General features: G+C 38.3%; 1 protein-coding gene across 4 annotated transcripts in view, besides 1 other annotated feature; it reads left to right on the top strand.

The window, feature by feature from the left end:
• The window catches only part of ABCB1 (ATP binding cassette subfamily B member 1), a 210,279-nt gene that overhangs the window by 117,024 nt on the left and 77,816 nt on the right, over positions 1 to 15,439 (top strand). For all 4 annotated transcript variants that reach the window (NM_001348944.2, NM_000927.5, NM_001348945.2 and 1 more), the window contains 2 exons: positions 458 to 506; positions 10,592 to 10,760. In NM_001348944.2, coding sequence (NP_001335873.1) covers positions 458 to 506; positions 10,592 to 10,760 — 218 coding nt within the window. The remainder of the gene's footprint in view (positions 1 to 457; positions 507 to 10,591; positions 10,761 to 15,439) is intronic.
• Positions 6,384 to 6,884: an enhancer, noted in NCBI's record as "H3K4me1 hESC enhancer chr7:87218704-87219204 (GRCh37/hg19 assembly coordinates)". NCBI's record gives its function as "activates a minimal SCP1, AML or CMV promoter by ChIP-STARR-seq in primed H9 embryonic stem cells {active_cell/tissue: H9 hESC(primed)}" and the evidence as "EXISTENCE:reporter gene assay evidence [ECO:0000049][PMID:30033119]".

Raw genomic sequence — 15,439 nt, 5'->3', positions numbered from 1 at the left:
AGAATAATATCTGGGTAGTGGATGGATAAAATGTCTACTGCCATCATTAATCAAATGACAATTAAGGGGATTCATAATTAAGGGGAAGCATGAATGATTTTCTAATTAGAATAAAAACAGGGAACTCTTTTCAGTATGTATATTTTTCTAATTGCAAAGGGTGTATGTATGTATTCATCATAGCAAATCAGGAAATATCAAAGGCACAAGGAAGAAAATATTTTTAGAGAGATTCCAGCACTCAGTGATAACCACGTATGTAGATTTCTAAGATATATGTAAACATATTTAAACATTATAAATGGGGTCATACTATTATCATCCTGTTTTTTAACTGTATAATATAGACATATTTCTTCTTCCTATTAGTCATTAAATATACATTCTATGTTAATTTGGGTAATTTAAAAAATATGTACTTTTTAAAGTTTTATGTAATTCCATTGCTGTTTTGCAGTGAAAAAGATAAGAAGGAAAAGAAACCAACTGTCAGTGTATTTTCAATGGTGAGTTTTGAATTTATTAACTATTCAAAATACTTCGGAAATTTGACATCTCCTTACATGGAAAAGAGATATTTCATCTGATGTAAGATTTTCGTATAGGGTATGTTAATGGAGATGCAAAATAAATTGGTTTGATTTAGCTTATTTTCAGGAGAATGCTGATCATAACTTGCTATCTATATTACTAATCTACAGCCACCATTCCTGACTTAGATTTCAATTCTTCTAATGAATTATGTTGCCAGTGATCCATTACCTACACAAGCACCTCTCCCATCTGCATAGAGGAAACCAATCACATAGAATGCTGTCTTTAATGGCTCTGAAATTTGGCAGGTTTTTTAGGTCAAAGTCAGTTGCTATCAATAAAAGTTAGCAATGGATTATTTATTACTATGCAAATTTTAGGTCATTTAGGTTAGTCCATTGCAAATTTTAGTTCAAAATCCATTACTAACAATAAAAGGTAGCAATGGATTATTTATTACTATGATTTCAAATATGTCATATGCCATTATTCCCCTGTGTTAAACAGATGAAAATCTAGAATTCGAAAACCTTATTGTAACTCTTTATTTCATTTTCTGGTTGCACAGTGGTTTTTTTAGAAGCTTTTCTTTAATCACACTTGGAATCAGACATGTATCATATATGTGTGGTTGGTTGATGACCTCAGTGCTGTGATCTTGGCTCACTGCAACCTCTGCCTAGTTAATGACCTCTTATTTACCTGGATTCTTACTTCCTTTTTTCTAAGAGTACAAATTTAGGTGAACTGTTAGGTGAAAGATTCCAGAGATTAGAACCTGGAAGACTACTAAACCAATTAAGTCCAACAGCACATGCTTTATAATTCAGTCATAACACAGCAATTTTTTTAAGGTAAGGGAGTGGATAGATTGTCTTGCAAAATGGATTTTAATAAATTGACTATAAAAATAGTTGTAGGTAGGGAAAAAACAGTCATGTGACTTTTACACTGAGGACTCTATGGTTCCCTTATGTGATCTTCGTTTCTCTGTGCTACCATTGCTCTTGCCATGACTCCTGCTTTTATTCTATCTCTACGCCCTTTGGAATTTTGGTGAGATGAGACTATGTACTTGAGTCATTCTTAGGCTACTTGAGTAACCAAGTGACAGTTTTCATTGTTACTTTCTTGTATGGAAAGAAGCGTTTAGGTTAAAGTTGTATTTATCCCCAGGATTTCAGTGCTGTCACTTTGAGACTTTCAGTTTTTATTATTTGTAGTTAAATTTTTTTAAACCTTAGGAGTCTTATATTTTAGAAAATTTAACAGACCTACTATATAGAGGCAATGTTATCAATAATTCATTTTAAGGCACAAAAGAATAAAAATATGGAGCTTTAATATGAGGTAGTAGTAATAGCACACATAAAGCACTGTGTGCCAAGCATTGTCCTAAGTATTTCATATTTAATCTCATTTAATCCTTACAACTCCTTTTGAGAAAGATACTATTATTATTCCAGTTTTACACATGAAGAAACTGGAGCCAGACATGTTCACTTGTCTGAGGATGTACAATGGGGCCAGGATAGAGAGAATATATTCTAAGTCTCTTGATGAAGTACTCTACTACTTAGATAGATTTTCCTCACATCTTTTTCCTGAAAAGTCAACATAGAAAACATTGAATGTAACTTCAATATAAAACTTATAAACACAAGAACATAATAAAAGTTTAACAATATATTGGTGATGTCACTGGCATTGCTTATTAATAATAGTTTTCAGTGAAGACAAAAAACATTGTGTGTTCAGGGTTTCCAAGAAGCCCAGCTTCAGTGATTCAGACTAGGAGGACCCAGAGGATTTATGGCTAATGTTTATTACAACAAAAGGATACAAGGCAAAATCAGCCATGGCAAAAGGCGAGTGGGGAGAAGTCCAGAAGAAACCAGGTGCAAGCTCCTAGAGTTCTCTCCTAATGGAGTCACAGGGCACACTGAATTTCCCCAAGCAATGAGTTAAGACAGCACTTGTAGAATGCTGTTTATCAGAGAAGCTCATTAGAGACTCAGTGCCCAAGGATTTTATTAGGAACTGATCATGTAGGCACCTACCCAGCATGCACCAAAATTTCAGACTCATAGAAGGAAGGCAGAACTGCAGAATGAAGAATCATATTGTTTGTACAGATAGTTTGGCCATACTTATCAGTTAGAATGGTGGTAATCCTCCCCAAATCCAAGTTCCAGCCAAGGGCCAACCTTTGTATACAGGCCTTTCTAAACATGGCAGCCTCAGAGCTGCTGTGTTAGCTCTTGTCTGCACACAATGTCTGTTAATTTATTTCCACTATGAGATTTTTTAGCAATCTTAAAAAAGTGATGAAAGAAGTAAGGAATAGATTCAAAATTCTATACTAGCCTTTTAAATTTATATCAGACCTTGTTTCAACATTTACAGAAACACAAAAGTAGAATAAAATCTAAAGCAAGTGAGGAAATGTGACACATAGAGCTGGGCTGTAATTTCTACACAAAATGAACTTCTTAGAGATTATACACTCTTGGTCAGGTGCTGTGGCTCACGCCTGTAATCCCAGAACTTTGGAAGGCTAAGGTGGGCAGATCACTAGAGCCCTGAAGTTCAAGACCAGCCTGGGCAACATGACAAAACCCTGTCTATGTGAAAAGTACAAAAATTAGCTGGGCATGGTGGCACATGCCTGTAGTCTCAGCTACTCGGGAGGCTGAGGTGGGAGGATCACTTGAACCCAGGAGGTGGAGATGCAGTGAGCCAAGATTGTGCTACTGCACTCTAGCCTGGGTGACAGAGTGAGACACTGTCTCAAAAAAAAAAAAAAAAAGATTATATATTCTTGCAAGAATTGTGCACTGTAGATTGAACTCTGAGCTTTCTATTATGTGTGTCTTAGGGAAACATTAATTTTTTTCTAAATAGATAATACCTAACAATGTTAAGTGTTTCCCTTGTACCAGGCATTTGTTAAATACCCTATGTTTATTGTGTGACATAATCTTCATATAGGGACATAAGTACCTGCAATTTAGGAACTTGTGTTATTCTTGTGTTCCAGATGAAGAACTTGACTTAGAGAAGTTAAGTAATGCATTCAAAATCACAGGGTCACATAGCTACTAAGCAGGGTAGACTCAGATATGCCCAGTTGCTTTTAACAACTGTAATCATTTATGACTGGTTAAACTGTTATCTCTCTGGAATTGAAGAGTTCTTTATTGCTGCTATCTTTTGATCTTATGACCATCTCATCATCAAAGACTACGCCACCTGGCTCAGTATCCTCCCTTTCCACTTTGGTGCTCCAACCAACTTGGGTGACTTTTATGGTTATATGGATAATCACTCCTTGAGCTTCACAGCTGCAATAATCATAAAAACCTACCTGTGTCTGAATCTGTTTCCTCCTCCTTCTTTCCAGTTATGACAGAGTTTTAGTCTTAAGACTAATCATTCATACTTTGGCTCCTATCTCCTCTGCCTTCTCAGGGACCTTACATCATTATTACCACTCATTCTCTTCTGTATCTTCCATCTTTCCCTCTCAACTGGATCTGTCCCATTGGCATTGACACATCAAGGCACTGATGCCCTTCATGGAGCCACCCCTGCCAGCTCCCTTCACACACAAAAGTGGCCTTTGCGTTCTGTCTTGATTTCGCCATTGACTTAGTTCTCAACCTATTGAAGTTTGGCTCCTGTTCCTGTCTCTCTCTACATTCAGTGGACATTTTAAAATTCTATCTTGATCTCTCAGCAGCACTTAGACTTTCTCCTATATTTTTTGTATTTGCTTCTGTTATGTCACGGTTTGCTGATTTTCCTCCAGCTCTTTGGCTTTTTCTTGTGCTGCCCTCGCCTGTAAAGTTAAGTTCCTCAACCCCTTATCACAGGAGTCAGAGATGATGTGGACATTCCTATAGTTCCACAAAGCCATTTTCAAATTTTTTTTATTCTCATGCAAACTCCTTTGTCATTTGAGTTTCATTCTGCATAATTATACTATCTTCTATCTATTTTCGGTGGTATCCTCGAAGTATACCCCCACCCCCATTCCTTGAGGACTTTGGCATTTGATTGCTTCTACTTCATTCACCTTATGTTCCTGTTATTCTTCTGAGTATTTTGGTGACCTTACAAATAAGTCTCAACATTCTCTGACTGCTTCAGTTCCAACAACGACGCTCCATAAATTACATGAGTACCTTAGTAAATTGCACGTGTGGACAGGATCTTGGGCTTATTGTCTGGGTGAGCTTTCCTCTATGAAGGTATAAACACACACACACGTGTATCAGTCTTTGACCACAACCTGTGATTCCTTCCAGCTCTGCCCTGCCTCTTTATCATCCCTCTTTTGACATTGTGTATTCATTTCCTATTGCTGCTGTAGGAAAATAGCACTCACTTAGTGGCTTAAAACAACACAAGTTTATTACCTTACTGTTCTGGAATCGAAGTTTTACTGGGCTAAAGTCAAGGTATCAGCAGGATTGCATTTCTTCTGGAGGCTCTGTTTCCTTCCCTTTTTCAGCTTCTAGAGGACACTTGCATTTCTAGACTCACAGGCCCTTCCTTGCATCACTCCAACCTCTTACTTCAATCATCACATCTCCTACTGACTCCAGGCCCCCTCCTCCCTCTTATAAGCACCCTTGTAATTACATTTGCTCTCCTAGATAATCCAGGGTAATCCCCTATCTGGAGATCTTTTAAATCTGCAAAGTCCCTTTTATCATGTAAAGAAATATATTCACAGGTTCCTGGGATTAGGATTTGGACAGGCTGTGGGGGGAGAATTATTCTGTCTACCACACCTGGTCAAGACTTTACTCTCTCAACTGCTCTTTCATCTCCTAGTATCCCTCCTTCCTTTTTGCTCTTCTAAAAATTTACCCATAGCAGCCACATCATATCACCTTGGTCCCTACCTTAAAACCATTAAATGCTTTCCTTTCTGCTTACACAGGAAGTTCAGTGTAAAACCCAGACTCCTTCCTGTCATCACAAAATGCCCTACATATCTGACCTCTGTTATTTCTGACTTTACTGCAGACAAATATTCCCTCTCACTCTGCTCTTGCCACAGTGTTCATTCTCTTTGGTCCTTGGGATACAGCAAGCTGGTTTTTACCTAAGTACCTTTGCATTGGCTCTTCCTGCCTGGAATGCACTGTCCCCAGATCATCACAGGATGAACTGTATCCTTCCTGTCACTGAAGTCTCATCATGGATGTTACCTCCTGAGAAAGACATTCTCTGACCAGCCAATCTAAACCAGGTGACCCTGCCTGTCTCTGTGTCATACCATGTATGGCTTTTCTCCTGAATATTTATCACTGTCTGATTTCTTTTTTATGTGTTTGTCTTCTCTCTGAAGGTAGGCTCCGTGGAGGCAGGAGATTTTTTGTATATTTTGTTCTCTACTATAACCCAAATGCCCTAGAATGGTGCCTGGAACTTTCATAGCAACTTAAATATTGAATGAATGTTGAATACATCTATTCCCCCTTTTAGTGTATGCACTAGAGTGTATGCTTTGTGAGGATAGGTAGCTTTTCTTACTCACTGTTGTTACCAGTACCTAGAACCAAGCCTGACCTTATTAGGTTCTTTCAAATATTTGAAAGATATTTTAAAATATTCACATATCCCTTGAATGTTAAATGAATAAATGAATGAATTAATTCTCTCTCAAATCCAAGTCATGTTTGCCATCTAATCTGGTGAATGTTACCTAAACCTCTCTCCTGTCAGTACCTTCTACTTCTTTGCCCTGGGAAGCCCAGTCTTTGGCATTAGGCACGGATCAACATGCCTTTTATGTGGTTCTGGTTCACCTTCTCTCTCTTTCCTTTCAGCATCTAATCAAACTTTCTTTCTTTCTCTCTCTCTCTCTCTCTCTCCCTCCCTCTCTCCCTCTCTCTCTCTCTCTCTCTCTCTCTCTCTCCTCTCTCTCTCTCTCTTTCTTTTTTTAGGTCTTAACTCTGTCACCCAGGCTGGAGTACAGTGGCATGATCACAGCTCACTGCAGGTTCAACCACCCAGGCTTAAGTGATCCTACCACCCCAGCCTCTGGAGTAGCTAGGACCCCAGGCACATGCCATCACACCCAAACAATTTTTAAATTTTTTTGTAGAGAGAGGGTCTCCTATGTTGCCCAGGCTGTACCAAACTCCTGGGCTCAAGTGATCCTCCTGCCCTCAGCCTCCCAAAGTGTTGGGATTACAGGTGTGAGCCATCATGCCCAGCGCATTTCCTTTTTTAAAAGCTCCTATTACAATTAGTTTATACTTCTATTTTACATTTCACCTGTGTTACAACGTTTTTTGGTCTGCCTGCTTTTTGACTTTATGAGAGTGAAAAGTCTTGTTAATTATTATATTTTCAAAACCAGTAACATTATCTGCTTATATCATATATTTGCATATTGTATGCTCAATAAGTTTCTTGTATTCTCATTTTTACCCTCATAACAGCTATGTAAGGTTTTCTGTGTGTATGAATATTTTCCTCATTTTGTAAATTCAGAAACTGAGACTCAAGGTTATTAAGATTTTTTTCCCCTAAAGTCTCCTTCCTAATAAACTACAGAGTGAGGGCATTTGACTGAGGCTTTTGTCCTACTCAGCATTATGTTACCACTTTCTTCAAATCTTCTCACCCCCTTCTCTCTAGAAATCAATCTTGCTTCATGTCATTAAGAAATATGAGGTTCTAGCATTTATAAGGAACCTAAACAAATTTACAAAGAAAAAACAAACAACCCAATAAAAAGATGGGCAAAGGACATGAATAGAGACTTCTTAAAAGACATGTGGCCAACAATTATATAAAAAAAGCTCAACATCACTGATCATTAGAGAAATGCAAATCAAAACCACTGTGAGAAACCATTTAACACCAGTCAGAATGGCTATTATTACAAAGTAAAAAAATAACAGATGCTGGCAAGATTGTGGAGAAAAAGGAACATTTATACACTGTTCAGCCATTGTGGAAGACAGTGTGGTGATTCCTCAAAGACCTAAAGACAGAAATACCATTTGACCTATTACTGGGTGTATACCCAAAGGAATATAAATCATTGTATTATAAAGACACATGCATTGTATGTTCATTGCAGCACTATTCACAATAGCAAAGACATGGAATCAACCTAAATGGCCATCAATTGTAGACTGGATAAAGAAAATGTGGTACACATAGAGCATTGAACACCATGCAGCCATAAAAAGAAACGAGATCACGTCCTTTGCAGGGCATGGCTGGAGCTGGAGGCCATTATCCTTAGCAAACTAATACAGGAACAGAAAACCAAACACCACATGTTCTCACTTAAAAGTGGGAGCTAAATGATGAGAACACATGGACACCTAGAGGGGAACAACACACATTGGGGCCTTTCGGAGGGTGGAGTGTGGGAGGAGGGAGAGGATCAGGAAAAATAACTAACGAGTACTAGGCTTAATAGCTGGGTGATGAAATAATCTGTACAACAACCCCCCATGAAACAAGTTTACGTATGTAACAAACCTGCATTTGTACCCATGAACTTAAAAGTTAAAATAAACAAATAAAAAATAATAAAAAAAAAAACAAAAGGAAATATGAGGTTCTGAACTCTTTCAATTTTCTGTCTTTATTCCTGGAAAATTAGTACTCACTTTAATCTCCTTCCTTCTAGTCTAAGATTAAGAGATGTAATTCCAATTTTCCCAGCTCAGTGAGGGGTGTCTTTTGATCAGTCAGCTATTTCTGTTTCCACACTTTACACCCCAAACTTGAGGGTCCCCAGTCTTTTTTAAGCACATTGTGCTCTTTTCTGTCTCAGTTTACTTTTCTTTTTGGCTTAAATGCCTTTTTTTTTTTTTTTTTTTTGAGACAGAGTCTCACTCTGTCGCCCAGGCTGGAGTGCAGTGGTGCGATCTCGGCTCACTGCAAGCTCCGCCTCCCAGGTTCACACCATTCTCCTGCCTCAGCCTCCTGAGTAGCTGGGATTACAGGCGCCTGCCACCACATCCGGCTAATTTCTTTTTTTGTATTTTAATAGAGACGGGGTTTCACTGTGTTAGCCAGGATGGTATTGATCTCCTGACCTCGTGATCTGCCCGCCTTGGCCTCCCAAAGTGCTGGGATTACAGGTGTGAGCCACTGCACCCAGCTACACTTGGTAAACTTTCAAAGCTGGAAGGAAGCATCACCTCTTTTATCATATGAAGCCTTTTCACAAAGGAGGGAATGATGATTGACTCAGTTTTGTGTCTATTCTATACACTGTACTGTCAAAGCATGCAGAGCATGTATTGCATATACATTTTTCTTTAACCTCTCTGAAGGCAGGGTTATATCTTTGGCATTTATCTCTGGATTTTATCTGTCATTGAATAGGCATTCAGTAAATGTCTACTTTCATGATCCACTTATTTTTATTATGGCCAGTGACAGTTCTGGAGGTAAAATGTCCTGTGTTGGTGGTGATGGGAGAAATTTTTTCATATCAACTATCTTCTCTTCCTGTACTAAGGAGTTTGATATTTTATCTACTTTAATATAATCTCTAAAAGAAGACCTCTTCCCTTTCATTTTTGTTTAAGGAAGCAGATGAATTCTTATCTAAGACAAAGTACATAGTGCAAAATTTAGCCAGTGTTTCAATGAAATATGAAAAAATATGCCAAAACGTGTTGTCCCATTAATGTTTTAATCTGTAAATATGATGATGTTTTTAGATCATCAACCCATAAATAACATGGAAAGTTATGCCATGAACCCAAACTTAAGCTCATTTGATAACACATTTAAGAGCTAGAAAAAGGGTAAATGCAAATACTTAAGTATCTATTAGATACTCTTTTTTACACACCATATCTTAATTTTCATTAATTATTTCATAATTTGGCTTTACTTTTTATCTCCTGCTTTATGGACTGCCATTCATTACTGGTAATAACCATTCTTTATTTCTCCACTCGGCAGTCCAGTACCAAATCCCCCAGTTGCTACTGTAAGATTCATGTAAGCTAACTCTAGGATTGGTTTCTATCCCCTTGTGAAGTATATGTAAGTTCTAAAATCTTGCTGTCTGTGGCTATGTCTTTTTTGCTGCCTAATCTTTGTTTTGGTTTATATTTCCTGCCTAGGCCTATGATTTTTTTACCCAGTTTCCTCCCTGCATTACAAACCTGTTGCCTACAGCTACACCTTGCATCCACATGTTAACCTTCTGCCCTGGGATTTATCCATAGACACCCACAGCTGGCTTTACCCCATTTCTGTTTTTTTTCCCTTTGGTTTTCTTTCAATCCTTAGCTAGTTCCTTGAGTTATAGGGAAGCAGTATTAATCACTTCCCAAGGGGGCCCTGAGCCCATTCCTCTTAACTGTGTCCTTTTCCTGTAACTTTTTGGGTTCAGAGAAGCTTTTCTTTCCTTCCTGTTACCTGCCTACATTTAAAGAGATTATGCAGATCTCCAACGTGGGTCATTCATTATTGCCATATTCTGTCTTCTCAGAAAAAATGTTCCTTGACAAGCATGCATCAGACTCATTCCTTTCTTTTTTCTGCTCATTCTTGAGGCCTAATTATCTTCAAATCATTTTACCTTTATACCAGTTCCATTGTTTGGCAGGTCTTTAACCCAAACCACTTTCTTAAAGCAACACAATGTTTCCTCCATGGTATCCTCAGAGGGGCCTTTGGCATTCAAGTTTTTGCCCATGAGATGATAAGTGGCTTCTATTCTTAGAAACTAGAGCAACAAATACCATATTATATACCATTAAATACTTTTACAGTTTCCCAGAATGTCCCATCCTTCTCATTAGACTTCATATAAGAAGACAGACCAAGTCCAATATGAAGAATTAGGCCAGAACTCAATGGAAGAATCAAATGTCCATTTCTAATTAGACTATTGCAATAATTTAGCAAAGGTAGAGGGTGTCTTGGACTAGGTTGGTATCAGTAGTAGTCTGAAAAATGTTTGGATTTTGGATATATTTTGAAGGAAAAGCAAATCTTCCATGAAACTGTACTAATTTTTCCTCTGCTATTCTTTTTTCTCTCTTTTTAGTTTCGCTATTCAAATTGGCTTGACAAGTTGTATATGGTGGTGGGAACTTTGGCTGCCATCATCCATGGGGCTGGACTTCCTCTCATGATGCTGGTGTTTGGAGAAATGACAGATATCTTTGCAAATGCAGGAAATTTAGAAGATCTGATGTCAAACATCACTAATAGAAGTAAGTATTGTTTGTGTACCAATTTTATTGGAAACTTGCAGCAAAAACAAGCACTTAGAGTGATGTTTATGGATTCTTTACTAAATACACATTAGTGTGTTTAGTCCTGTAGGAGGCAGACAGTCTGAGTTATAATTCATATTTGTAGTGAGTTAGAAAAGATAATATTTACAAGCATTACAACACACAACTGAAGTGCCAGCAGAGATATGTAGAAAAAGAGAGAGCCCTGTGAAGTCAGAAATATTCTGGAAAGCTTCAAGAAGAAATATAGGAACTTAATTAGAACCTTGAATGATAAGTAGGAATCTGTTGTGAGATTTCCTAACAGATTGAACATGGGTGTAAGACGAAAAGTCGGGGATGATTCTAAAGTTTTTAGCCCTAGAAACTGGGAGGATGCAGTTACTATCAACAGAAATGAGAGATGGAGAAGGAGAGTGGATTTGAGCAATAAATCCCAGAAATTTAGTTTTGGACATTGTTATATGTTGGGCTTTCTGGAAGTAGATGCAGGAATGGAAAAGTGGGGCAAAATTGTGTGTGTGTGTGTGGGGGGGTATTTTAGGATAGGATAAATAATAGCTTGTAGCTTGTTTTGTGTGTTAATGGAAATGATCCAAAAGAAAGGAGAAAGTGATGTTTGAATGAAAGATGGAAGAGATTTGCTGAGTGATATCCTTGAGAAAAAATGGAATCCAGTGCTGAGGAGGAAAACAGTAACAGGTGGGAAAAGTGAATTTGAGTGTCAGTACCCAGTGGTGGGTAGATGAGAAGGTGAGAATCTGTGGAATTTTTCTCCTGATAACTTTAGTTTTCTCAGTGAAGTAGGAAGCAGGAGAATTGGCTGATAGAGACAGAGAAAACAGATGTAACACAGCTCTCAAGGAAAGTGGGAAAGTGAATAGACTACAGAAATAATCTGGGTGTAACATACATATTCTTTCCTCTCTCTCCCTCTCTCTCTCTCTTTCTCGATTGGGGAGGAATGGGTTGATATCTCTGAGTTTCCTAGGTTACCTCTGGTCAAGCCTAGATTGATTTAAACTGAGCTACTCAAAAACTTACAATCCAGTTTGCACTCAGGTGGTCAAATGTTGAAAATGCCTGTTTGATAACGTACTTGAAAATGTAGTGATACCACTTAGCTTACAAGGACCTTTCAACTTTTGAACTTTCAAGTTTCTGATGAATGCAATGAATTGCTTCCCCAGAAACATGCACATGAATATTCATACCAATCTCGGGTATATACGGATCTTTTGATACTTGTCAGTGGGTCCTCAGAACCACTTCATGACCCTAAAAAGTACATTGTTTACCCTGGGGTAGAACTACTTCAATTCTGTGGATGCAGGTAATGAGCTGGGCCAGAAAAATTTTTGTATGTTTGAGCTATGTAAAATTCTTATGCTTTATTACATCCTTTCACGGCATCCAAAGGGACCTGCAGAAAGATGCTGCACCACCTCTGAACTGGTACCTTTCTTTTACACCATTCACCAGAGGAAGTCCTCAATGCTTTCTGAATTCATTAGTTCCTATACTTGCTATATTGGCCAATATTCTGTGGCGTTAGCTCTCTTACTGCTTCATAGTGGAAGAATCAAATACTTCATCACTCTCTGGTGGCTCAGCAGGCCTAATGGGTACATCTCTGTCCATCCAGATCTTGCTCACTTTTTAATGACTTCCCAGCCTTCAGAACTGTGGGAAATAAATTTTTATTGTTTGTATGTTAATACATACAGTTTATGTATTTTGTTATATCATCCCAAATGGACTAAGACACACAGTAAACTCACTTACTTAATAGCATGCATGAGCTCCCAAACAGATGATGATCTAGTTGTGAAGACTAGCTCCTTTCTGGATAGGCCCATGTGTCTGTATGCCTATCAAAATCTCCTAGGTTAAACAGGGGCCACATCACCACAGCTTGCCAGCTGGTAATTTAGATTTCCATCTTCATAGATATCTAGTTTCTAGGTGAGGTTGTAATTCACATTGCAGTCCTTGCCAGTCATTCTCATTCAGCTCACTCTTCTAGTCTTGAGAACGGGAAAGAGAAAGCTTAGAGAAATATTTGAAAGTTTACTTTTGTTATTCTCTTAAGAGGTGGTATATTTAGTGGTTAGCGAACATACTCTGGAGTTGGACTGCCTGGCTCAAAAACCACACCCTTACCAATTTTTAATTTTGAGGTTTAGGGAATTTATTCATACTTTAGTTATTAAGTTGGATAACAATAGAACCTACTTCTCAGGATGGTTGTGATATTTAAGTGGATTCATTCATTGAAGAATCACAGAACAAAGTCTAGTCATAAGAAGTACTCAACAAATATTAGTTACTGTTATTATCAACAGGCTTTCATGTTCCTCACAAATGAAATTACATAACTTTCAATGATGATATGGTTCCTTATATAATTTCTTCTTTACAAAATTCTGTGATACTACCTCAATTTTCATAGTTGTTGAAAGTTTGGGACATACCCAAAGTTACTCAGTACCTATTATATGATGTGAATAATCATCCCTTTAAGTAGAATTTCCTTGGTTACCAGCCATGCCTTTCAGGGAAGGTAGGTATCCTCCAACTATGACCCCTGGGCTAATTTGGCCTGCTGCCTCTTTTTGTACAGGGTGTGAACTAAGAATGGATTTTACATTTTGAAATCATTGAAAAAAAATCAAAAGAAGAAATTATATTTTGTGACCCGTGGAAATTATGTGAAATTTAAATTTCAGTACCTGTAAATAAAGTTTAATGAAATGTAGCTACACCTATTCATTTACATTTTATGAATGTAAGCAGCCTATGGCTGCTTCTATGCCACAATGACACAGTAGAGTAGTTGTACAAACCGTATGGTCTGCAGAGCCTAAGATATTTACTATCTGGCCCTTTATAGAAAAAGGTTGCCAATCTCTGAAGTAGGGTATTGAGTGAGGGGTTGTTATCTTCAGTCAATCCATCAATTAATTTGTATTAGAGCATTCTGTGTGCCAGTCACAGTACATGCCCTCATCATTCCCAACTCTTGAGGAGCTTAGTGTAGTGGGAGGGATGGACAAGGGTGAACCAATAAATACAGTCGAATTTGATTAGTGATATAATACAGAGATAAATAAAATGCATTGGAAAAAGAGAGAAAGGACACCTGACTCCATATAGAGGAATCATGGGAGGCTTCCAAGAGGAGGTGATAACCAAATATGGTCAGCATCTATCTCCTACACAAAGTGTACCTATTCTGTGTAACAGATGAAACCATTTCAAAATAAAGATTAAATAAGTAAGATTAATATCCTTCCCTCACTGCCACTCCTTATTTCCACTCCCCTCACCATTGTCTATCCTTCCATGCCTTTCCAAAGACAGCATGCTATCTTTACTGTGATTTTCACTTTAGGACGCTTACTACACTATCACTAATCTGCTTGTCTGCAGATTCAGACTGCCAGATACCCTCAAGTCTGCCTGGAAAGCAGGGAATAGCATCAAAGGTTTTGATGCTTGTCCCAGAGATGAGGGCAAACATGCTCTGTCATGCCTGTGGAGGGAGAACCAGCCTACTAAATTCTTGGGGCCCGAGATACAGTCAGATCATTCTTCTTTTTGCCCTTCCCTAGGCAGAACCTCATTATCTCTCCATGGGGGTGGACTAGATACCAGAGCCTCCTTATTGGAAAAGTAGTCCTTGCTTAAGGGGACTTGGACTTGCGGAGGCTCTTGAAAGCCTGGGGGTTTTTACAATAAACATAGGATCTAATTAGACAGCTCTAAAACCTTCTTCAGTAAGCAGATCCTTCTCTGTTGCTGCAATAGAACCCTTGTAAGTTTTCTCGTCCCAATACTTTGCCTTAATTAACAGACATCAGCTTTTGTTCTGCTGTTTTACTGTGGACCAGATTTCCTGACAGCCACTCCCATCTATCTCTGGTTTAATTATAGAATATGTGTAGCCTTTGCCTTAAAATCTCTGATGACTGGAGCCTAGGGAACTCTCTGATTCTGTCATATCACTTTTTTTTTTGTAAACAAAGCTTAATCACTGATGAATTTCTGTAATATTCTGTGAATTCTCATCTTCCTTATGAGACTGGCCACTATCTGGAAATGATCCTAGATAAAGGCGATTGTGGTTTTAAATGTGTTGTGGTGAAGACGGCAGGTGGGGTGCCTGTAAAATGACATCCAGGCAGTTGAAGAAATGACACTAAATCTTGGCATAAAGAACAGGACTAGAAGCTGGGTGTGGTGGTGTGTGCCTGCAGTCCCAGCTATTGGAGAGGCTGAGGTGGGAGGATCACTTGAGGTCAGAAGTTCAAGGCTAGCCTGGGCAAGATAGTGAGAGTTTGTCTCTAATAAAACTTAAAAGGTTAAAAAATGATAAAATGTAAGGAGGAGGTGGAACAAGATAGCCAAACAAAAGCCTCCAGAAATCATCCCCCCCTCCCCCATCCCTACAGGAACACCAAATTGAACAACTATTCACAAAACAAAGCACCTTCATAAGAACTAAAAACCAGGTGAGCGACCACACTATTTGGTTTTAACATTATATTAAGGAAAGAGGCACTGAAGAAGGTAGGAAAGAGAGTCTTGAATTGCCTGCACCACTCTTCCCCTCCCCCACCAGCAGCACATACTGAAGAATGAATCACAGTCTC

This window comes from Homo sapiens, chromosome 7, assembly GCF_000001405.40.
Source record: "Homo sapiens chromosome 7, GRCh38.p14 Primary Assembly".
NCBI lineage: Eukaryota > Metazoa > Chordata > Mammalia > Primates > Hominidae > Homo > Homo sapiens.
This window is presented reverse-complemented; position numbering and strand designations above follow the sequence as displayed.